This window comes from Homo sapiens, chromosome Y (assembly GCF_000001405.40).
Source record: "Homo sapiens chromosome Y, GRCh38.p14 Primary Assembly".
Taxonomy (NCBI): domain Eukaryota; kingdom Metazoa; phylum Chordata; class Mammalia; order Primates; family Hominidae; genus Homo; species Homo sapiens.
Genome location: NC_000024.10, coordinates 20,465,126 through 20,488,682, shown reverse-complemented (window position 1 = coordinate 20,488,682; position 23,557 = coordinate 20,465,126). Strand labels below are relative to the sequence as shown.

The window sequence follows — 23,557 nt, the reverse complement described above, 5'->3', positions numbered from 1 at the left end:
GCACTTTTAATATGGCATCACATTATCTCCTGTCTTTGTAGAATCCTGTTAGAAATACTGGGAATTACCCAGATAGAGCTCACTTATGTGGGATGAGTTTTCCCACTGACAGATTTAACATTACTTTTTAAATTTTACTTTTTATAACTTGATTAAAATGCATCTAGGACTATTAACTTTTAAAATTAATCTTGATATGATCATTGAGTTTCTAAATCTGTGAGTTCATATTTTTTCTAAACTTTGGAATGTGAACAATAAAAATTCTGATAACTTTTCTGCTTCTTTGTCTCTTTCTTATCTTTTGTGTACTTTTATAATTGGTGTATTTTTACAAATTAAGGCATCCATTAATAGACATGGTTATTTCATTTTTCCATGTTTATTGTTGTTCTTCTAATTGGTTAAATTCATATAAACTGTATTTGAGATGGCCATTTAATTCTTCTACCAGATTAGTTATGCTGTTGCAATTTTGTATTGATATTTTAAATTCCATGAATATATTACACAGCTGTAGGTTTTCTTTGTTCTTTTTGACATATTGTTAATTACATTTCAGGCAATTTCTAGGTCTCTGATTTTTTATCTTTTCTTTGAAGTCTGATGAAATTTCTCTGGTTGTGTCATGAATGGCTGATACTTAGCATTCCTTCTATCTCTGTGGTGTTGTTTTGTGCATTTCAAGAAGCAAAACCACAGAATTTCTTGGATTGTGTTAGGCTTATAATGTTCTCCTTCAAAGTCTCTGATATTTTCGGGAGAAAATAATAAAACTAGTGTGACTGACAAAGCTGTAGCTCATCATTACTTGTCATTAGAGGACTGCAAATCAAAACCACAATGAGATATCATCTTATGCCAGTTAGAATGGTGATCATTAAAGTCAGGAAAAAAAATACTGGAGAGGATGTGGAGGAATAGTTTAATTAGGTCCCATTTATTTAGTTTTGTTTTGGTTGCATTTGGTTTTGGGTCTTAATCATGAGTTATTTGCCTAAGCCAATGTCTACAAGATTTTTCTGATGTTATCTTCAAGAATGTTTATAGTTTTTGGTCTTAGATTTGAGTCTTTGATCCATCTTGAGTTGATTTTTGCATGGGGTGAGAGATGGGATCCAGTTTTATTCTTCTATATGTGGCTTGCCAGTATTCCCAGCATCATTTGTTGAATAGGGTGTCCTTTCCCCAATTTATATTTTTGTTTGCTTTGTCAATAAGGAATTGGCAGTGAGTATTTGTCCTTGTTTTTGTGTTCTGTATTCAGTTTCATTGTTCTGTGTGCCATTTTTTTTATATCAGCATCATGCTGTTTTGATAACTAAAGCCTTGTAGTATAATTTGAAGTCTACTCACATTTTGCTGAGATGGTGTATTTTTTTCTTTCTCTTATTTTCTTATTTCTTTAGTTCTCCACTTCCTAGTTGGCCATTTAGAAAGGCAGATGTAGCCTTTTATCTACCTTTCAGTAGATGATTTCTACAGGGCTAGTTACTCTCTTACAGTTCCTAAAAAGAACTCTTACCTACCAGGAGACTGTCTGAAGATAAAACACTAAATTTCTATGAAACACACTCCCATGAGCAGAATACGTTAAAAAATATCAGTCAGTTTATCACCAGAAGTATCCCGACTTAGGAAAATGCCAACAATCTCCTGGTAAATTGCTCTGTAGATAAGGCAGTAGGCTAGCCGGTATAAACCCCACCTGCTCCCTTCCCCCTTCCCTCATCTGAATGACCATTAGGTTAGGCCCCTTTTAAAAGTACTCCCTTTCTGTTCCAAATGTAAAATCATACCCTAAAAAGACAGAAAGCCTGCACTTATTCCTCTAGGCTAGTTTTGAAATTAAAGCAGAACTTGCTGTTTACTAGAGTTTCTGTATATCACTCTTGTCAATTTGACTCTGCAAGCAGAAAGTGACTGAATCTGCATTCTAATCACAATAGCTGTAGCCCATATGCAGAAGAGCTGCACACTGTGGATTACTCTGCACCTGACATATTACTTTATTGAACAAAAATGAGGGCACCTAGGAGTGACAGCTGCTTATGCCTGGCTGACTCTTTGATGAGAATTTTCAGAAAATTCTCAACAACTGACAGAAATGGTTTCTGGTTTGGCAAACCTCCTCTTTACCTTACTTCCTTCAACACACTTCTAAAGAAGAAAGTGACCTCTAAAAAGATGGCTACATTTGGAAGTAAGCTATATGATCTCAATAAATATTTGGCCACCTTCTGCCTCTCTTAGAGTGTCACTATGGTCCTGCAATTTTTGACTATAGGTTCCTCAAAAAGCTATTTGAATGTTTTATGCCTTTGTATTTATTGTCAAGTGCAGCACCACTGAAGCTCTTTGCTTGACTGAGACTCAGCTGTCCATGGAGCAATTCAGAGCTTGGGAAGAGGTTTCAAGGACCTATCCAAACTATTGATTTGGGACTCATTTTGAAGCACACTGTTTATTTGAATTTGTGAATGCATAAATTTCTGTATGAACACTGATTTCTTCTACACGCTGCACCTCTTGTTTCACCCTCCTATCTGGGAAAGTCATCTACCTGGAACACTGAGAGTCCCCAATTTTTTCCTTTCAAAAATTGAACTAAATATTAACAGCTGACCTAATTTTTATATATTGATTCTTGAGGTAAGTAAACAAAAATACTACAGAAAGTGACCCCATAGTTTATACTTAACTTTTGGTCACTTTAGGTGTTTTCCTTTCTTTTCTTTCTTTCTCATAATCTGCTTGTAAAATCTGGCTTTACAGTTACAAAAAATTTTGTAACAAATTTTTATTAATAAAAAAATTCTGTGGCTGGGAGCAGTTTTCCTGAAGTTAAGGGGCTTTAATGATTTTTCTTTATATAAAACCTTACAATACAATTACAGTAATATGCAACCAAAATTTTTGCCTTTGGTTTTTATAAGGAAACTTTTAAAACACTTTTTTTTAAATTTCTTTAAAGTTGTTTTTACAGAGATTGTCAACTGTTCCACAGAAGTTATAAAAAATTATCGTAGGTTTATAGAATCTTACTTTATAAGCAAACTAAAGAATGCTGAATACATTTGTTTATAAGGTTATACTATCAATCAAGTTTAACGTAGTAAACTAAGGCAAATGTAAAATTTTGCTTACTTTTTTAAACTGGATATTTATGATATAGTAAAAGATAATAATTTTGTTTTCCTTTGGATAAATGATAAAGAAAATGGGAAGAAATACAGATTCTCTCTCTCACATTATTTTATTTGACCAGTTTTTCCCTTCAAAAAAAATATGTCTACCATATAACAAAGTAAAAACTTTTCTTAGGTATTTAAGATATCTTTTTCTGGGTTTTGTAACATCAAATGTTTAAAATGTATATATTTAAAAAGCTTTAAAAGTCATATTCTAAATCAAGCCTCTTATTGATCTATTTATTCGTTTTCTGAATATGAGGTAGCCTGAAGTCCAAAAAAGGCATATTTTGCTTATCTGGTATATTAATTGTATATAGAAAGTATTGTGAACTATAGCAATATAATGCTGCTTAAGCTTCTCTGAGCTATATTCATACAGATTTCCCATTACTATGTGTCCTATAATTGTTCTTAGTATATGTTATCAGTTGTAATTACAAATATTATTCAAAATATTTGTATGCCATATATGTAACCGAGACTTATAGTTGATTTTGTTTATAATCATAGAGATTTTAACAATTTTATCATCAACAATCACTCCTTTTCTTTGATTTTTTATAGGGCAGTATGTAAACAGCTACAAAACTCTAAGGAGTATACTAAAGAATGTGTTCCTGATAAGTTAAGAATGGGTCCCTGATAACGTTAGAATTGTGCCATTGGAATGGAGCCAAAAGCTTTCAGGACTGTTCTGTCATGGAGAACTAAAATATACCTGAGGATTATTGATTCAATGTTAATCAGAAAGAGAGTAAATTTTATTGACAAAACTAACAGAATATTATACTAAACTCTCATAACTTTTTGTTGAATTAGTTTATTATTCTTGGTTTGTTTTCAATGATATTTTTTCTTTTAAGCTATTTGCAATTTATAAAAGTTGAATAAGATTGATTACTTCGAGAAAAGTTGGAGTGTCTTTTTCTGTCTCTACCAGATACCCCCAGAAAATGAGGACTATATTTAACTATACTTAATATGTAGCAGTGTAATTATTTGCATACATTCCATTAGACTTATAAAATGCCGTTATAAGCAGTTGTTATCTTACCAAAGTTTTTTTCTGCAATGGCATACTTTCAGATATAAAGAGACTGCTTTAAAAATCAAAGTTGACTTATACAGCTTTTTAAAAGACCATTGGAAAATCTATCTCTATTTTTTGTTTATGGGATTCCTCTACAGGCTCCCTGAACTCTGATGATTAAATCATGTACTTTTCTGACAGGCCCAGGATCTCCAAATTATCCTGGGACCCTCAGTAGAGAAGTTTATCCAATTAACACAAATATATGCAGGCACACACAAAACATTGGCTTAGGTCAAGGCTTTGGAAAGTCTAATCTATAATCCTAATTAAACAAAGTTCCAGCAAAGCCAATTTAAGAGGAGCCTTTATAACAAATAACTTTCATTGTATCATTCAATGCAAATACTCAGGCAAAGAGAATAAAAAAAGAACTAAATTTTTGAACAACTTGCCCTTGCTATTATTTGTCTTTATAAATACAGGAACTTGAAAGAGGATAATTAAAATAAAAAATAATATATAAAGCTAATAATAATAATAAAAGAAGCATAACTTGAGAGAGTATGATAATTTAAAAACTCCAGTACACAAGCTGTTAGATTCTTGTACTGCCCACTGTTTCTGAGTTTTTATTACTTTCCACCATTTAGGCTGAATGCTATGTGCTTCTTGGGCTAAACTTACCAAGTTAGTGCATATATATATATATAGATGTGTGTGTGTGCGCGCACGTGTGTGTGCGTGTTTATGTGTGTCTGTGTTTCTGATTTGGTCTCCGTGAAAACACTCCTACACTATTCCTCTTAAAAGAGGCAAAAAAAGTATTATACCACCACTATATTCCTTCTCTGTAAATAATAATGCTTTTAGTTTGACAACTTAATAAATTGGTCAAATGTTAAACTATGTATTTCTTTTATTTCCATAGAAATGGCTCTTATTAAAATTTGAGGGCCTTCTTCACATGCAGATTACTAGCTCATTTGCAATGCTACCTTTTGAATGAGGCAGTTATGTAACCTGATTTATTCTCAGAAACTAGACAGGATTGACAACATATTATTTATTTTTCTGCCTAACTTCTCATCATATTTACTTATGATTGATTATGGGAACCTTGCAAAATAATTAAGACTAACTTCTGTGTGTACATTCAAGAACATTTAGAAAGTGTATCAGATAGCCCTGGGGATGAGGACCAATAGTTTAAAGCTGTATCTGACTGCATGCTGATATTAAATAAATAGTTAGAATTTCTTATTATTATACTTTAAGTTTTAGGGTACATGTGTACAATATGCAGGTTTGTTACATATGTATACATGTGTCATGTTGGTGTGCTGCACCCATTAACTCGTCATTTAACATTAGGTATATCTCCTAATGGTATCCCTCCCCACTCCTCCCACCCCACTACAGGCCCCAGTGTCTGATGTTCCCCTTCCTTTGTCCATGTGTTCTCATTGTTCAATTCCCACCTATGAGTGAGAACATGCAGTGTTTGGTTTTTTGTCTTTGTGATAGTTTGCTGAGAATGATGGTTTCCAGCTTCATCCATGTCCCTATAAAGGACATGAACTCATCATTTTTTTATGGCTGCATAATATTCCCTGTGTATATGTGCCACATTTTCTTAATCTAGTCTGTCATTGTTGGACATTTGGCTTGGTTCCAAGTCTTTGCTATTGTGAATAGTGCTGCAATAAATGTACATGTGCATGTGTCTTTATAGCAGCATGTTTTATAATCCTTGGGGTATATACCCAGTAATGGTATGGCTGGGTCAAATGATATTTCTAGTTCTAGATCCCTGAGGAATCACACTGACTTCCACAATGGTTGAACTAGTTTACAGTCCCACCAACAGTGTAAAAGTGTTCCTATTTCTCCATGTCCTCTCCAACACCTGTTGTTTCCTGACTTTTTAATGATCGCTATTCTAACTGGTGTGAGATTGTATCTCATTGTGGTTTGATTTGCATATCTCTGATGGCCAGTGATGGTGAACATTTTTTCATGTGTCTTTTGGCTGCATAAATGTCTTCTTTTGAAAAGTGTCTGTTCATATCCTTCACCCACTTTTTGATGGGGTTTTTGTTTTTTTCTTGTAAATTTGTTTGAGTTCATTGTAGATTCTGGATATTAGCCCTTTGTCATTTGAGTAGATTGGAAAAATTTTCTCCCATTCTGTAGGTTGCCTGTTCACTCTGGTGGTAGTTTCTTTTGCTGTGCAGCAGCTTTTTAGTTTAATTAGATCCCATTTGTCAATTTTGGCTTTTGTTGCCATTGCTTTGGTGTGTTAGACATGAAGTCCTCGTGCATGCCTATGTCCTAAATGGTTGTGCCTTGGTTTTCTTCTAGAGTTTTTATGGTTTTAGGTCTAACATTTAAGTCTTTAATCCATCTTGAATTAACTTTTGTATAAGGTGTAAGGAAGGGATCCAGTTTCAGCTTTCTACATATGGCTAGCCAGTTTTCCTAGCACCATTTACTAAATAAGGAATCCTTTCCCCATTTCTTGTATTTGTCAGGTTTGTCAAAGATCAGATAGTTGCAGATATGCGTCATTATTTCTCAGGGCTCTGTTCTGTTCTGTTGGTCTATATCTCTGTTTTGGTAACAGTACCATGCTGTTTTGGTTACTGTAGCCTTGTAATATACTTTGAAGTCAGGTAGCATGATGCCTCCAGCTTTGTTCTTTTGGCTTAGGATTGACTTGGCAATGTGGGCACTTTTTTGGTTCTATATGAACTTTAAAGTAGTTATTTTCCAATTCTGTGAAGAAAGTCATTGGTAGATTGACAGGGATGGCATTGAATCTATAAATTACCTTGGGCAGTATGGCCATTTTCACGATATTGATTCTTCCTACCCATGAGCATGGGAAGTTCTTCCATTTCTTTGTATCCTCTTTTATTTCATTGAGCAGTGGTTTGTAGTTCTCCTTGAAGAGGTCCATCACTTCCTTTGTAAGTTGGATTCCTAGGTATTATATTCTCTTTGAAGCAATTGTGAATGGGAGTTCACTCATGATTTGGCTCTCTGTTTGTCTGTTACTGGTGTATAAGAATGCTTGTGACTTTTGCACATTGATTTTGTATCCTGAGACTTTGCTTAAATTGCCTATCAGCTTAAGGAGATTTTGGGCTGAGATGATGGGGTTTTCTAGATATGCAATCATGTCATCTGCAAACAGGGAAAATTTCACTTCCTCTTTTCCTAATTGAATACCATTTATTTCCTTCTCCTGCCTGAATGCTCTGGCCAGAACTTCCAACACTATGTTGAATAGGAGTCGTGAAAACTGTCTTGTCCCAGTTTTCAAAGGGAATGCTTCCAGTTTTTGCCCATTCAGTATGATATTGACTGTGGGTTTGTCATAGATAGCTCTTATTATTTTGAGATACATCCCATGAATACCTAGTTAATTGAGAGTTTTTACCATGAAGCGTTGTTGAATTTTCCCAAAGGCCTTTTCTGCATCTATTGAGATAATCATGTGGTTTTTGTCATTGTTTCTGTTTATATGTTGCGTTATGTTTATTGATTTGCATATGTTGAACCAGGCTTGCGTCCCAGGGATGAAGCCCACTTGATCATGGTGGATAGCTTTTTGATGTGCTGCTGGATTCGGTTTGCCAGTATTTTATCGAGGATTTTTGAATCGATGTTCTTCAGGGATATTGGTCTAAAATTCTCTTTTTTTGTTGTGTCTCTGCCAGGTTTTGGTATCAGGATGACGCTGGTCTCATAAAATGAGTTAGGGAGGATTGCCTCTTTTTCTGTTGATTGGAATAGTTTCAGAAGGAATGGTACCAGCTCCTCCTTGTACCTCTGGTAGAATTTGGCTGTGAATCCATCTGGTCCTGGACTTTTTTTGATTGGTAAACTATTAATTATTGCCTCAATTTCAGAGCATGTTATTGGTCTCTTCAGAGATTCAACTTCTTCCTGGTTTAGTCTTGGGAGAGTGTATGTGTCAAGGAATTTATCCGTTTCTTCTAGATTTTCTAGTATATTTGTGTAGAGGTGTTTATAGTATTCTCTGATGTAGTTTGTATTTCTGTGGGATCGGTGGTGATATCCCCTTTATCATTTCTGATTGCATCTATTTGATTCTTCTCTCTTTTTTCCTTTATTAGTCTTGCTAGTGGTCTATCAATTTTGTTCACCTTCTTAAAAAACCAGCTCCTGGATTCATTGATTTTTTTAAGGGTTTATTGAGTCTATATTTCCTTCAGTTCTACTCTGATCTTAGTTATTTCTTGCCTTCTGCTAGCTTTTGAAAGTGTTTGCTCTTGCTTCTCTAGTTCTTTTAATTGTGATGTTAGGGTGTCAATTTTAGATCTTTCCTGCTTTTTCTTGTGGGCATTTAGTGCTATAAATTTCCCTCTACACACTGCTTTGAATGTGTCCCTAAGATTCTGGTATATTGTGTCTTTGTTCTTGTTGGTTTCAAAGAACATCTTTATTTCTGCCTTCATTTCATTATGTACCCAGTAGTCATTCAGGAGCATGTTGTTCTGTTTCCATGTAGTTGGGTGGTTTTGAGTGAGTTTCTTAATCCTGAGCTCTAGTTTGATTGCACTGTGGTCTCAGAGAGAGTTTGTTAATTTCTATTCTTTTATGTTTGCTGAGGAGTGCTTTACTTCCAACTATGTGGTCAATTTTGTAATAGGTATGGTGTGGTGCTGAAAAGAATGTATATTCTGTTGATTTGGGGTGGAGAGTTCTGTAGGGGTCTATTAGGTCTGCTTGGTGCAGAGCTGAGTTCAATTCCTGGGTATCCTTGTTAACTTTCTGTCTCGTTGATCTGTCTAATGTTGACAGTGGGGTGTTAAAGTCTCCCATTATTATTGTGTGGGAGTCTAAGTCTCTTTATTGGTCTCTGAGGACTTGCTTTATGAATCTGGGTTCTCCTGTATTGGGTGCATATACATTTAGGGTAGTTAGCTCTTCTTGTTGAATTGATCCCTTTAACACTATGTAATGGCCTTCTTTGTCTCTTTTGGTTTTTGTTGGTTCTTCCTCCATCCCTTTATTTTGAGCCTATGTGTGTCTCTGCACGTGAGAAGGGTTTCCTGCATACAGCATACTGATGGGGCTTGACTCTTTATCCAATTTGCCAGTTTGTGTGTTTTAATTGGAGCATTTAGCCCATTTACATTTAAGGTTAATATTGTTATATGTGAATTTGATCCTGCCATTATGATGTTAGCTGGTTATTTTGCCCTTTAGTTGATGCAGTTTCTTCATATCCTCAATGGTCTTTACAATTTGACATGTTTTTGCAGTGGCTGCTACCGATTGTTCTTTTCCATGTTTAGTGCTTCCTTCAGGAGCTCTTCTAGGTGACAAAATCTCTCAGCATTTCCTTGTCTGTAAAGTATTTTATTTCTCCTTCACTTATGAAGCTTAGTTTGGCTGGATATGAAATTCTGGGTTGAAAATTCTTTTCTTTAAGGATGTTGAATATTTACCCCCACTCTCTTCTGGCTTGCAGAGTTTCTGCCAAGAGAGCCACTCTTAGTCTGATGGGCTTCCCTTTGTGGGTAACCTGACCTTTCTCTCTGGCTGCCCTTAACATTTTTTCCTTCATTTCAACTTTGGTGAATCTGACAATTATGTGTCTTGGAGTTGGTCTTCTCGAGAAGTATTTGTGGTGTTCTCTGTATTTCCTGAATTTGAATATTGGCCTGCCTTGCTAGATTGGGGAAGTTCTCCTGGATAATATCCTGTAGAGTGTTTTCCAAGTTGATTCCACTCTCCCAGTCACTTTCATGTACACTAATCAGATGTAGATTTGGTCTTTTCACATAGTCCCATATTTCTTGGAGGCTTTGTTTCTTTTTATTCTTTTTTATCTAAACTTCTCTTCTCACTTCATTTCATTCATTTGATTTTCTATCACTGATAGCCTTTCTTCCAGTTGATCGAATCAGCTACTGAGGCTTCTGCATTCATCATGTAGTTCTTGTGCCATGGTTTTCAGCTCCATTAGCTCCTTTAAGCACTTCTCGGCATTGCTTATTCTAGTTAGCTATTTGTATAGTTTTTTTTTCAAGGTTTTTAACTACTTTGCCATGGGTTCGAACTTCCTCCTTTAGCTCAGAGTAGTTTGATCGTCTGAAGCCTTCTTCCCTCAACTCATCAAAGTCATTCTCCGTCCAGCTTTGTTCCATTGCTGGTGAGGAGCTTCATTCCTTTGGAGGAGGAGAGGCACTCTGACTTTTAGAGTTTCCAGTTTTTCTGCTCTGTTTTTTCCCCATCTTTGTGGTTTGATCTACCTTTGGTCTTTGATGATGGTGACGTACAGATGGGGTTTTGGTGTGGATGTCCTTTGTGTTTGTTAGTTTTCCTTCTAACAGTCAGGACCCTCAGCTGCAGGTCTGTTGGAGTTTGCTGGAGGTCCACTCCAGACCCTGTTTGCCTGAGTATCAGCAGTGGAGGCTGCAGAACAGCGGATATTGGTGAACAGCAAATGTTGCTGCCTTATCACTCCTCTGGAAGTTTTGTCTCAGAGGGGTACCCAGCCATTTAAGGTGTCAGTCTTCCCCTACTGGGGGTTGCCTCCCAGTTAGGCTACTTGGGGGTCAGGGACCCACTTGAGGAGGCAGTCTCTCTGTTCTCAGATCTCCAGCTGCATGCTAGGAGAAACACTACTCTCTTCAAAGATGTCAGACAGGGAAATTTAAGTCTGTAGAGGTTTCTACTGCCTTTTGTTTGGCTATGCCCTGCCCCCAGAGGTGGAGTCTACAGAGACAGGCAGGCCTCCTTGAGCTGTGGTGGGCTCCACCCAATTCAAGCTTCCCAGCCACTTTGTTTACCTACTCAAGCCTTTGCAATGGTGGGCGCCCCTCCCCCAGTCTCACTGCAGCCTTGCAGTTTGATCTCAGACTGCTGTGCTAGCAATAGGTGAGGCTCCATGGGCATAGGACCCTCTGAATCATGTGTGGGATATAATCTCCTGGTGTGCCATTTGCTAAGACTGTTGGAAAAGTGCAATATTAGGGTGTGAGTGACCCAATTTTCCAGGTGCCATCTGTCACCCCTTTCTTTGACTAGGAAAGGGAATTCCCTGACCCTTTGCACTTCCCATGTGAGGCAATAACTCGCCCTGCTTCAGCTCATGCTCAGTGCACTTCACCCACTGTCCTGTACCCACTCTCTGACACTCCACAGTGAGATGAACCCTGTACCTCAGTTGGAAATGCAGAAATCACCTGTCTTCTGCATCACTCACACTGGGCACTGTAGACTGGAGCTGTTCCTATTTGGCCATCTTGGCTCCATCCCTGAATAGTTAGAATTCTTTATCAGGTCAGAAAAATTTTGTTTGTGGGGGCTACTTTTACCTTTAGACCTGGTTGTAAGAAGAGGCATACTTGTGCACTGCAGATTATACTGTTGTTACACCCTCTGTATGGGGTTACAATACTGGCTTCTTGAGAGACCTTCCAGACCTGGCATCCTCATGATCTAATAGATAGTTCTAAATTTTTGATACTCATGAATATTTCTAACTTCAAATAGATCATTTCCACTTTGAGACCTAATATTTCTGCCCTCTTTGAGCAGAAACTATCTAGAATAAGTACAACACAGAATTCCCATGGAAATGGAATAAAACAGAAGTGGAGTATTGTTACCAAGTGCTTTTATTTTTCTAAGAGATACATTAATTATATTGCCTTTTAACTCACCTTTTCTCCTTCCTACAGTTCATTTTATACTTAACCCTTTAACAATTAAAACACAGTCTTTTGACTCCTCTTTGTGAGGCCCTTACTACAGGTTTATGTAACTATGTTCTTGGAAGCTTCAGAAAAGAAAAGGCCAACAATCACATACTCAGGTGCCCAGCTCAGAAGAGTCAAAAGTTGGACATGCTAACCACTCACCTGTTTGCTTCTCCAGGCCTGTATTTCAATTGTGCTTAAGGCCCATTTGAGGAATGTATCCATTTCTTCTAGATTTTCTAGTTTATTTGCGTAGAGGTGTTTGTAGTATTCTCTGATGGTAGTTTGTATTTCTGTGGGATCGGTGGTGATATCCCCTTTATCATTTTTTATTGTGTCTATTTGATTCTTCTCTCTTTTTTTCTTTATTAGTCTTGCTAGCAGTCTATCAATTTTGTTGATCCTTTCAAAAAACCAGCTCCTGGATTCATTGATTTCTTGAAGGGTTTTTTGTGTCTCTATTTCCTTCAGTTCTGCTCTGATTTTAGTTATTTCTTGGCTTCTGCCAGCTTTTGAATGTGTTTGCTCTTGCTTTTCTAGTTCTTTTAATTGTGATGTTAGGGTGTCAATTTTGGATCTTTCCTGCTTTCTCTTGTAGGCGTTTAGTGCTATAAATTTCCCTCTACACACTGCTTTGAATGCGTCCCAGAGATTCTGGTATGTGGTGTCTTTGTTCTCGTTGGTTTCAAAGAACATCTTTATTTCTGCCTTCATTTCATTATGTACCCAGTAGTCATTCAGGAGCAGGTTGTTCAGTTTCCATGTAGTTGAGCGGCTTTGAGTGAGATTCTTAATCCTGAGTTCTAGTTTGATTGCACTGCGGTCTGAGAGATAGTTTGTAATAATTTCTGTTCTTTTGCATTTGCTGAGGAGCGCTTTACTTCCCAGTATGTGGTCAGAGAATACTATAAAAACCCCTATGCAAATAAACTAGAAAATCTAGAAGAAATGGATACATTCCTCGACACATACACTCTCCCAAGACTAAACCAGGAAGAAGTTGAATCTCTGAATAGACCAATAACAGGCTCTGAAATTGGGGCAATAATCAATAGTTTACCAACCAAAAAGAGTCCAGGACCAGATGGATTCACAGCCGAATTCTACCAGAGGTAAAAGGAGGAACTGGTACCATTCCTTCTGAAACTATTCCAATCAATAGAAAAAGAGGGAATCCTCCCTAACTCATTTTATGAGGCCAGCATCATTCTGATACCAAAGCCGGGCAGAGACACAACCAAAAAAGAGAATTTTAGACCAATATCCTTGATGAACATTGATGCAAAAATCCTCAATAAAATACTGGCAAACTGAATCCAGCAGCACATCAAAAAGCTTATCCACCATGATCAAGTGGGCTTCATCCCTGGGATGCAAGGCTGGTTCAATATACGCAAATCAATAAATGTAATCCAGCATATAAACAGAGCCAAAGACAAAAACCACATGATTATCTCAATAGATGCAGAAAAAGCCTTTGACAAAAGTCAACAACCCTTCATGCTAAAAACTCTCAATAAATTAGGTATTGATGGGACGTATTTCCGAATAATAAGAGCTATCTATGACAAACCCACAGCCAATATCATACTGAATGGGCAAAAACTGGAAGCATTCCCTTTGAAAACTGGCACAAGACAGGGATGCCCTCTCTCACCGCTCCTATTCAACATAGTGTTGGAAGTTCTGGCCAGGGCAATCAGGCAGGAGAAGGAAATAAAGGGTATTCAATTAGGAAAAGAGGAAGTCAAATTGTCCCTGTTTGCAGACGACATGATTGTTTATCTAGAAAACCCCATCGTCTCAGCCCAAAATCTCCTTAAGCTGATAAGCAACTTCAGCAAAGTCTCAGGATGCAAAATCAATGTACAAAAATCACAAGCATTCTTATACACCAACAACAGACAAACAGAGAGCCAAATCATGAGTGAACTCCCATTCACAATTGCTTCAAAGAGAATAAAATACCTAGGAATCCAACTTACAAGGGATGTGAAGGACCTCTTCAAGGAGAACTACAAACCACTGCTCAAGGAAATAAAAGAGGACACAAACAAATGGAAGAACATTCCATGCTCATGGGTAGGAAGAATCAATATCGTGAAAATGGCCATACTGCCCAAGGTAATTTACAGATTCAATGCCATCCCCATCAAGCTACCAATGACTTTCTTCACAGAATTGGAAAAAACTACTTAAAAGTTCATATGGAACCAAAAAAGAGCCCGCATCGCCAAGTCAATCCTAAGCCAAAAGAACAAAGCTGGAGGCATCACACTACCTGACTTCAAACTATACTACAAGGCTACAGTAACCAAAACAGCATGGTACTGGTACCAAAACAGAGATATAGATCAATGGAACAGAACAGAGCCCTCAGAAATAATGCCGCATATCTACAACTATCTGATCTTTGACAAACCTGAGAAAAACAAGCAATGGGGAAAGGATTCCCTATTTAATAAATGGTGTTGGGAAAACTGGCTAGCCATATGTAGAAAGCTGAAACTGGATCCCTTCCTTACACCTTATACAAAAATCAATTCAAGATGGATTAAAGATTTAAACGTTAGACCTAAAACCATAAAAACCCTAGAAGAAAACCTAGGCATTACCATTCAGGACATAGGCGTGGGCAAGGACTTCATGTCCAAAACACCAAAAGCAATGGCAACAAAAGCCAAAATTGACAAATGGGATCTAATTAAACTCAAGAGCTTCTGCACAGCAAAAGAAACTACCATCAGAGTGAACAGGCAACCTACAACATGGGAGAAAATTTTCGCAACCTACTCATCTGACAAAGGGCTAATATCCAGAATCTACAATGAACTCAAACAAATTTACAAGAAAAAAACAAACAACCCCATCAAAAAGTGGGCGAAGGACATGAACAGACACTTCTCAAAAGAAGACATTTATGCAGCCAAAAAACACATGAAGAAATGCTCATCATCACTGGCCATCAGAGAAATGCAAATCAAAACCACTATGATATATCATCTCACACCAGTTAGAATGGCAATCATTAAAAAGTCAGGAAACAACAGGTGCTGGAGAGGATGTGGAGAAATAGGAACACTTTTACACTGTTGGTGGGACTGTAAACTAGTTCAGCCATTGTGGAAGTCAGTGTGGCGATTCCTCAGGGATCTAGAACTAGAAATACCATTTGACCCAGCCATCCCATTACTGGGTATATACCCAAAGGACTATAAATCATGCTGCTATAAAGACACATGCACACGTATGTTTATTGCGGCACTATTCACAATAGCAAAGACTTGGAACCAACCCAAATGTCCAACAATGATAGACTGGATTAAGAAAATGTGGCACATATACACCATGGAATACTATGCAGCCATAAAAAATGATGAGTTCATGTCCTTTGTAGGGACATGGATGAAATTGGAAACCATCATTCTCAGTAAACTATCGCAAGAACTAAAAACCAAACACCGCATATTCTCACTCATAGGTGGGAATTGAACAATGAGATCACATGGACACAGGAAGGGGAATATCACACTCTGGGGACTGTGGTGGGGTCGGGGGAGGGGGGAGGGATAGCATTGGGAGATATACCTAATGCTAGATGACACGTTAGTGGGTGCAGCGCACCAGCATGGCACATGTATACATATGTAACTAACCTGCACAATGTGCACAAGTACCCTAAAACTTAGAGTATAATAAAAATAAATAAATAAATAAATAAATAAATAAATAAATAAATAAATAAAATGTACTCACCCTTGGATTTAGAAAAAAAAAAAAAAGGCCCATTTGAAAGTGTTTCCTTAGATTAAATTTAGAAGTTGAAATCAGAATCTGCTAAATGCAATGGGATTAAATGTGATAAGACTTCCACATTCTTATGGAGGAGACGTTTATGTGAAATAAATGCCTACAGTTGAACAAACGATACCCTTAACGTCTTCTTCTGGGAAAATAGTTAAGTTATCCTGTCTCTGTTAATTAAATGGAAAACATTGTTACATCAATTCAGTTACTCCTATAAAAGTTGGCAGGATCTAAATCTTGTGCCTTTTTCCAGGGCCAACTGTTAACTTCCAAAAAGATTGCTCATAGACTACTCAGTCCCCTTGGGCAGGCACTACATAGGGCTTTCTTCTTGTTAACAAAGTTATTGTTGACTCAACTATAGACAGCCCCAGAGGCTATCTGGGCTCTGATTATATTTTGTACATTATATTTTGTACATTAATGTACATTATATCCATGATTGGGCTATAATGTACATTAATGGCTAAGAATTTATGTTCTGGATTCTTCAATCTTTCATTAATATTCCACTTCTCCCATAATTCATTTTGGTACTTGGAAATGTTATCTAGTCTGTTGCATTCATAGGGGAAAACTTGGAATAATTTGGGGTAGTGCTTAGTCCCACTCTTGGCATCTAGTGACTCTCATATCAGATAGAGGCAGTCATCGCAGTGGCCCAAGTGATCTTGCAACATCTCCATCCATGTTGCTCCAAAGGACCCAATTTTACTGTAAATGGTTGTATAGTATTTTATGGTCTACATAGACCATATTTACCATATGTTCATCCATATTTTCTTCATTAATCTAGCTTTTAAAAACAACTAATTTGATTTCAAGTGTTTGTTATTTAAAAGCCAAGAAGGAAAACAAATTTTTTTCTTGTATCACCATTTATTTATTATTATTATTATTATTATTATTATTATTATTATTATTTACTAAGGAATGGGATTGGTAGGTTTAATGATCCCTCTGTTTTGACTTCTTTGAGATATTTCCAGACTACTTTCCACTTTGACTGTAGGAATTTACATTGCATCAACTGGGTCTAAGTATTTCTTTTTTTCTGAAGTCTTGCTAGCTTCCATAATTTTCATATTTTTAAATAATGTCTATTCTTATTGATACGAAGTGTTATCTGTTTGTGGTTTTGATTTGCATTTGCTAAGAAGAGCCAGCACAAGTACTCAGGATTTTCAGTAAGTTAGGAGGGTCCCTTTACTTCAAAAGGAGCACACCAGCTGTCTAGTAATGACTCTCAATCAGTCTGTACTTTCTGAAATTACAGAGATAGAATTCACAATCAGAATAGCAATAAATTAGTTGAGATTGAGCAGAAAGTTGAAATAATTCAAGACAGTTAATTCATATAGTGGAACAATTCATTCTCACAGGGAGATTAAAATCCTATTTTAAGAAAGATCCAAGCTGAGCTTCTTGAGATAAAAATAATTACTACAAGCATTTTTTAAATACAATCAGAAATTATAACAGCAAAATAGACCAATCTGAGGAAAAGATTTCATTGCACAAACACTAGTTCTTCAAATTAACACACTCAGACAAAAATCAGAAAATGAAACACATAAGTGAAAAGCAAACTTATGACTAATCAGTATTTCTGCTCTTCTTCAAATAATAGTTCTTAAGAATCTATGACATTAAGAAAACACCGTATGAGGAATATTTGTAAACCCACAGGAGCCGTTTCTCAATTGTAAAATAAAGTTTTTCTCTCTCCTGTCCCTGAGAGACATCCCGTTAATAGTAATAGAATAGATCATCAAAGTAAGGAAGACAATTTCTTAATGACATATCAATGAATCAGATGAGGTAGATCACAGAACTGCTCTTCTCCAGCTCCCTGATAGTCTTTTAGGGCTTTTATTGGGTATATGCCACACTTCAAAATAATGCTGCTCTGACAATGTGACAACTCATTTTCTTTGTTGCTAAATGCTGTAAGCTAACACAGATAGCCCCCTAAATAGAAGAATAATGGAACCTAAACCCTGTGTGAGAAATATTTATGTGAAGGAATTTTGTCATGGAAGCCAGAGGTTGTTTATCTGAAGAATAATTATGCAAGTAATTTCTCACGATTGGCTATTAGAAGAATTGATGTCTGTCTTTTCCAACTTCATGATAAATTTCCATTGAGGTGAATATTATTATTATTTGTTGTTTATTTAATAATAATTTGTGTTTGTTTAATATTATTGTGAGCAATTTTCTGACTAACCAGAATATTTTATTATAAATAGATTTTATGACAATCAGACTATCTTTATAAATAGCTAGTTTTCTGAATGAACTGAAGTTTTGGCTGTGGCAATGTTATAGGAAGTAGAAAGAAATTATTTTGGTACACAGGGTAAAGAGAGTAGCCAGAAGAAAACTTTTCTAACAAAAAAACTTCAGAAATAGCTCCTTTTCTAACTTACACCATTGAAAGAAATCACTTCTTTCCTAAGAAAGGGCAGCATGGAAATTCAGGCTGTAAATCATGGATAAACAGCTTGAGCACAGAAGGAGGGAGTGTCTGCTGGGTAATCACCGAACTTCACACCATATAATCGGCTCCAGTAAAAACAGTGGCCTTTAATATGTACATCCCTTTCCCTTTAGGCACACTACAATGTAGAAGCTAGAAGCAGAAAGGGGAAGGAATGTCTGCAGCTGCAAGAAGATGTCTGGGAACAGTCACAGAAATGCTCCCTCCCAGATAAGCAACACAGAGCAACAGATTAATAGTCTGCTTATGTGTTCAGGGAATGGTGTGAGATCTGATAAAAAAGAAAACAAACAAACAAAAAACACAAAAACCTCTGCTCTGTAAAGAAAGCACATGTAGTCCCAACTAAATTAGCAAGCATTTTATTTTTCTAAGAGATACATTAATTATATTGCCTTTTAACTCACCTTTTCTCCTTTCTACAGTTCATTTTATACTTAACCCTTTAAGTATAAAGTATATACTTCAAGTATAAAGTGTAAGGTTGCTTCATTTCATGGGCCCACCCAGGATTTAAAGGTGTATTCCCTGAAAGGTGAGTACAGGAGTGAACATCTACTTTAATTTTTCTGGCTTCTTGTCCTCAGTTTTTTGTTTTTTTTGTTTTTTTATACGGAGTCTCACTTTGCCACTCAGGCTGACTGCCGTGGCATGATCTCCGTTCACTGCAACAACCTCTGCCTCCTGGGTTCCAGCAATTCTTCTGCCTCAGCCTCCATGCCCGACTCATTTTTGTATTTTTAGTAGAAACGGGGTCTCACCATGTTGGCCAGCTTGGTCACAAACTCCCAATCTCTAGAGATCCCAAAGTGATTGGATTACAGGCATGAGCCACCGCAGCTAGCATGCACTCAGTTTTTATTAACTAAAAGAACTATCAAAAACCATCAAGCATCTGATGGCTGACTAACCACAAGGGCTAGTCTTGAAGACTCAGATGTGAGGCTTACTGGGAAGGACCTAGTCAATCCCTTAGTGCCCTCAGGGTGCTGGGAATGTAGTCTTTGTCAAAACCAGTTTATTTTCGTGGAGAGCTTGGCTGTTGCATGGAGCTTGAATAGGTCTTGGATTAACTGAGAATTTCTGGCCATGGCTACACCCCAGTGTTATTCAAAGGTTTCTGGACTGACCCCAGCCTCCCAACTACCCAACCGGGTGTCAGCCACAGTATCTCAAAGATTTCCTATTGCAAATGTTATTTTCCTCCTTTACTTTTTGAGATCATCGTGTCTCCCATCCCTTCTCTGGATGCAATGCCACAGGATCTTTTACAGAGCAGTGAAATAACTCAATTAAGCAGGCTTAGTAACCAGGAATGCAGGTAAAGGGATTGCAATTTTTTGTGACTTTCTGCAGTCAGGAGGATTTATACCAAATCTCAAAGACTGTTTAACTGCTAATAATAACACTTCCTGGGGTTGGGTAGGAGGTTACTCCTCCTTCCCAAACAACCATCACTGAACACCCCTTTCTCTACCTAGCCTCTTTTTGTTGTTGTTGTTGTTGCTTTCCATGTGAGAAGCCAGCACTGACTAGTCAGACTGGATAGTCCCTCTATGAGGTGAATTGCCTTTTTTCTTCTAGGAGGTGTGCTGTGGGGACAGGTAGCTACAAGTTAAACTTCCCTCTCCATCCTTTGTTTAGAGAGCATATGGAGACAGTTACTGCCTGGTATTTCAGTGCTTACAGTGCCACATCGTGGAATGGGAATCCTCTCCATGGGGAATCTTGTCTGCCCTTTGCCAAAAGCCTTTTAGTCCTCTTTTTAGCAGTAAAGAGTAACATATCTTCCAAAACGAAATTTTAGTCTTAATACTCTCTGCATTAGCAGGAAGACCATCATTTGACACTTATGTCCTCTTGAGACACCTATACTGCCTACAACAAGAATGGCATCTAAATAGAAAGGGGATTTTTTTTATCTGGAAGTTAACTAGAACCTAAACATTCTCAGTTCAGTACACTCCCTCTTTTAAGGGGTCTTGCTTAAATGCAACTATTACATAATCTCTGCCAAGGCTCATCTATCAAGGAGCCACACAAGTCACACAGGTCTAGGAGGTCAGAGGATAATTACCCTATTATTAGAAAAAGGACTGATGTCACATGGGTAAAAGTTACTAGCCCCATTGATTAGGTCCTGTGGTTCTGTGTCTAGAATTGGTTCCTTCCGGTGGGTTCCTGGCTGACTTCAAGAATGAAGCTGCAGACACTTATGGTGAGTGTTACAGTTCTTAAAGATGGTATGTCCGGAGTTTCCTCCTTCAGATGTTCAGATGTGTCCAGAGTTTCTTCCTTCCAGTGGGTTCATGGTTATGGTGACTTCAGTAGTGAAGACACAGACCTTCACAGTGAGTGTTACAGCTCTTAAAGGTGGAGCTTTCAGAGTTATTTGTTCCTCCCAGTGGGTTCTTTGTCTTGCTGACTTCAAGATTGAAGACACAGATGCTCATGGTGAGAGTTACAGCTCATAAAGGTAGTGCAGACCCAAAGACTGAGCAGCAGCAAGATTTATTGTGAAGAGTGAAAGATCAAAGTTTCCACAGCCTGGAAGGGGATCCCAGTGTTTGCCGCTGCTGACTCAAGTGGCCAGCTTTTATTCCCTTATTTGGCACCGTGCATATCCTGCTGATTGTCCCATTTTACAGAGAGTTGATTGGTCCATTTACAGAGTGCTGGTTGGTCCATTTTACAGAGTGCTGATTGGTGCATTTGCAATCCTTTAGCTAGACACAGAGTGCTGATTGGTGCATTTACAATCCTCTAGCTAGATAGAAAAGTTCCCCAAGTCCCCACTCACTGACCCAGGAAGTCCAGCTGACTTCACCTCTCTGTACCATGTTTGAGGGTTACACCTGCAATCATGAGATGGGAATTATGGTGTTGGGACCCAGATACCAAGGAGGGAGGTCAGGGGGAGTCCCCCAATGGTCATCTCCTTCAATCTGGGTCACATTAAAAAGAACCAAGAGACACAAGGATGCCTCTTCTTTTGTCTCTTTTTTTGATGGATGACAAGCCATCTTCAGCTTGCACTTCTCTAGAGTGCATTCTGAAACATTGAGACTCCTTTGACCCTGGAACTTTGAACAAAAACAGCTCATTTTCTTTTGCACAATGGTGTGGCCTTCTTACTGTCTCAGGAATAAAGAGACCTGGCCAGCTGAAAGGAGCCTTGATTCTAATTTTATCCAACAATTAGATCTTTTGTGTAGATGGGACAGCAAATGATCCAAAGTTTGATATGAACAGGCTTTCTTTGCCCTGTGGAGAAAACCCAGACCTTTGCAAGTGCAGACCTTTGCATTCTATGTGTGCCCGAGTTATTTCAGTGTCTCTTATCCAGGGTCCCCTCCAACTGCACCAAAATCTCCCCCACCTCCACCAGGTCCAAAGCTCACCATTTCCCCTGCTTCACTCCTACCCCTATAAGAAATGCCAGATGGAAGGGTCACCACTAAAACACATGTTCTCCTTTCATTATAGGACCTTAGGAAAATAGAGGGAGACTTGGGCTGATCTTCTGATGACCTGGCTAGGAATTTGGAGACCTTTCAAAATTTAACTTAGTGTTCAATCTCAAGTGGAGGGATGTTATGCTGCTCCTATGCCAAACCCTTACTGCAGCCGAAAAGCAGGCAGTTCCTGATATTAGAAAAAAGCTACAGAAACAGGCTATAGGACCAGATTGTATCTTGAAGAACCTCCTGAATGTGGCCTCATTGTTCTCTTACAATAGGACTGGGAGGAGGCCCACGAGAAAAACAGGAAGAACAAGAGAAAGGCTGAGGCTCTAGTGGCTGCTTTGCAGACTTGCAGAGTCCAGGATCCCCCAGGAACTTCCACTGATTGCTACCTGTTACCAGTGTTAAAGCCAGGGCACTTTAAGAAGAATTGCCCAAGCCACAAGAAAAAGCCACCTTGACCACTTTTGTGGTGAAGACCACTGGAGATTGCACTACTGACCACCAAGACAGAGGTCAGTGAGTACGGAATCATTCTCACAGATGCTCCAGCAGGACTGATGGGTTCTGGGGCTGAAACCCCTGGTTCCAATGGTTCAAACATCCATTACTGCTCAGGAGTCCTGGGTGATAATGGAAATTGAAGGGAGGAGGGCAAGCCTCCCACTGGATTCTGGAGCCAGTCTTTCTGTTCTCCTCACCAATCCATGCCTCTCCTCTTCCCATGTCACAACAATGGTGGGTGTCTTAAAAAAGACTCTAACTTGATATTTTTCTCCACTACTTATTTGTAGTTGGGGGGACATATTATTTACACAGGACTCCTTTATTATGCCTGAAAGTCCCACTCCTTTATTAGGTAGAAATATTTTACCCTACCTACATGGAGGCCTGCATCCTCATGGCCCCAGGACAAACTCTTTGTCTTTCCTTAGTGGAAGCCAATATTAATCTAGAAATGCGGGCAACTCAACAAAGAATAAGTCTACTGTAAATCACAGATAAACACCTTGAGCACAGAATGAGAGAGATCACTTGGGTAATCACCAAACTTCACACTCCTACAAATGGGTCCCAGTAAAAACAGTGGGTGTTAATAAGTACATTCCTTTCCTTATAGACACAATAGCGAATCTAGAAGTGGAAGTGTGAGAGATACCTGCAGCTGTTAAGATGTCTGGGAATAGACACACAAACTCTCTCTCCCAGATAAGCAACACAAAGCAGCACAGAGCAACAGAGACTGAAAGTCTGCCTACCTGATCAGGGAATAAGGTGAGAGTTGATAAAGACTCTGCTCTATACAGAAAGCATACCTGGTTCCAACTAAATCATCAGGTTTTATGAGGATAAGACATCCTCTCCTCACTAGTGCCCTCCTCATTAGCCCATTTACAAAAACCCTGAGATTTTAGCACAGCTTGGCAACCTACTCAGGGCTCCTCTCTATGCTGAAGAGCTGTTCTTTTTGTCTATTAAACTCCTGCTCTAAACTCATTCTATGGGTGTGTGTATCCACAGCCTTGATCCACTTGGCTGTGAGACTAAGATCCTTGGTATTTACCACAGACAATTAGGTTGTTTCAGAAATTTCCTGTTTAAAAAAAAAAAAGACATAGATCTAAAATTACCAAGTACCAGAGAAGATAGAAAATCATGTGTTTTTGGATTGTTTTGTTTCTGTTTGTTTTCTCATTGTGCTTAAAATGTCTGAGTTTGACTTTGTATGCATATAATACTTTTACTAGGGGAATTACTGTAAAATATTTGTATATGGATGGCTCTTAACCCTATATCATTGGCACATGTAAGAGCAT

At 38.0% G+C, this 23,557-nt stretch overlaps 1 long non-coding RNA gene across 13 annotated transcripts in view; it reads left to right on the top strand.

Annotated features, from left to right (window-relative positions):
• TTTY10 (testis expressed transcript, Y-linked 10) overlaps positions 1-23,237 on the top strand; it is a 110,070-nt gene extending 86,833 nt beyond the window's left edge. For 8 of the 13 annotated variants that reach the window (NR_197939.1, NR_197940.1, NR_197942.1 and 5 more), the window contains 4 exons: positions 18,702-18,811; positions 20,435-20,494; positions 22,016-22,255; positions 22,861-23,237. This is a non-coding gene — a long non-coding RNA (testis expressed transcript, Y-linked 10). The remainder of the gene's footprint in view (positions 1-18,701; positions 18,812-20,434; positions 20,495-22,015; positions 22,256-22,860) is intronic. The other 5 variants (NR_197936.1, NR_197938.1, NR_197941.1 and 2 more) reach the window with 1 other exon arrangement.
• The last annotated feature ends 320 nt before the right edge of the window (positions 23,238-23,557 follow it).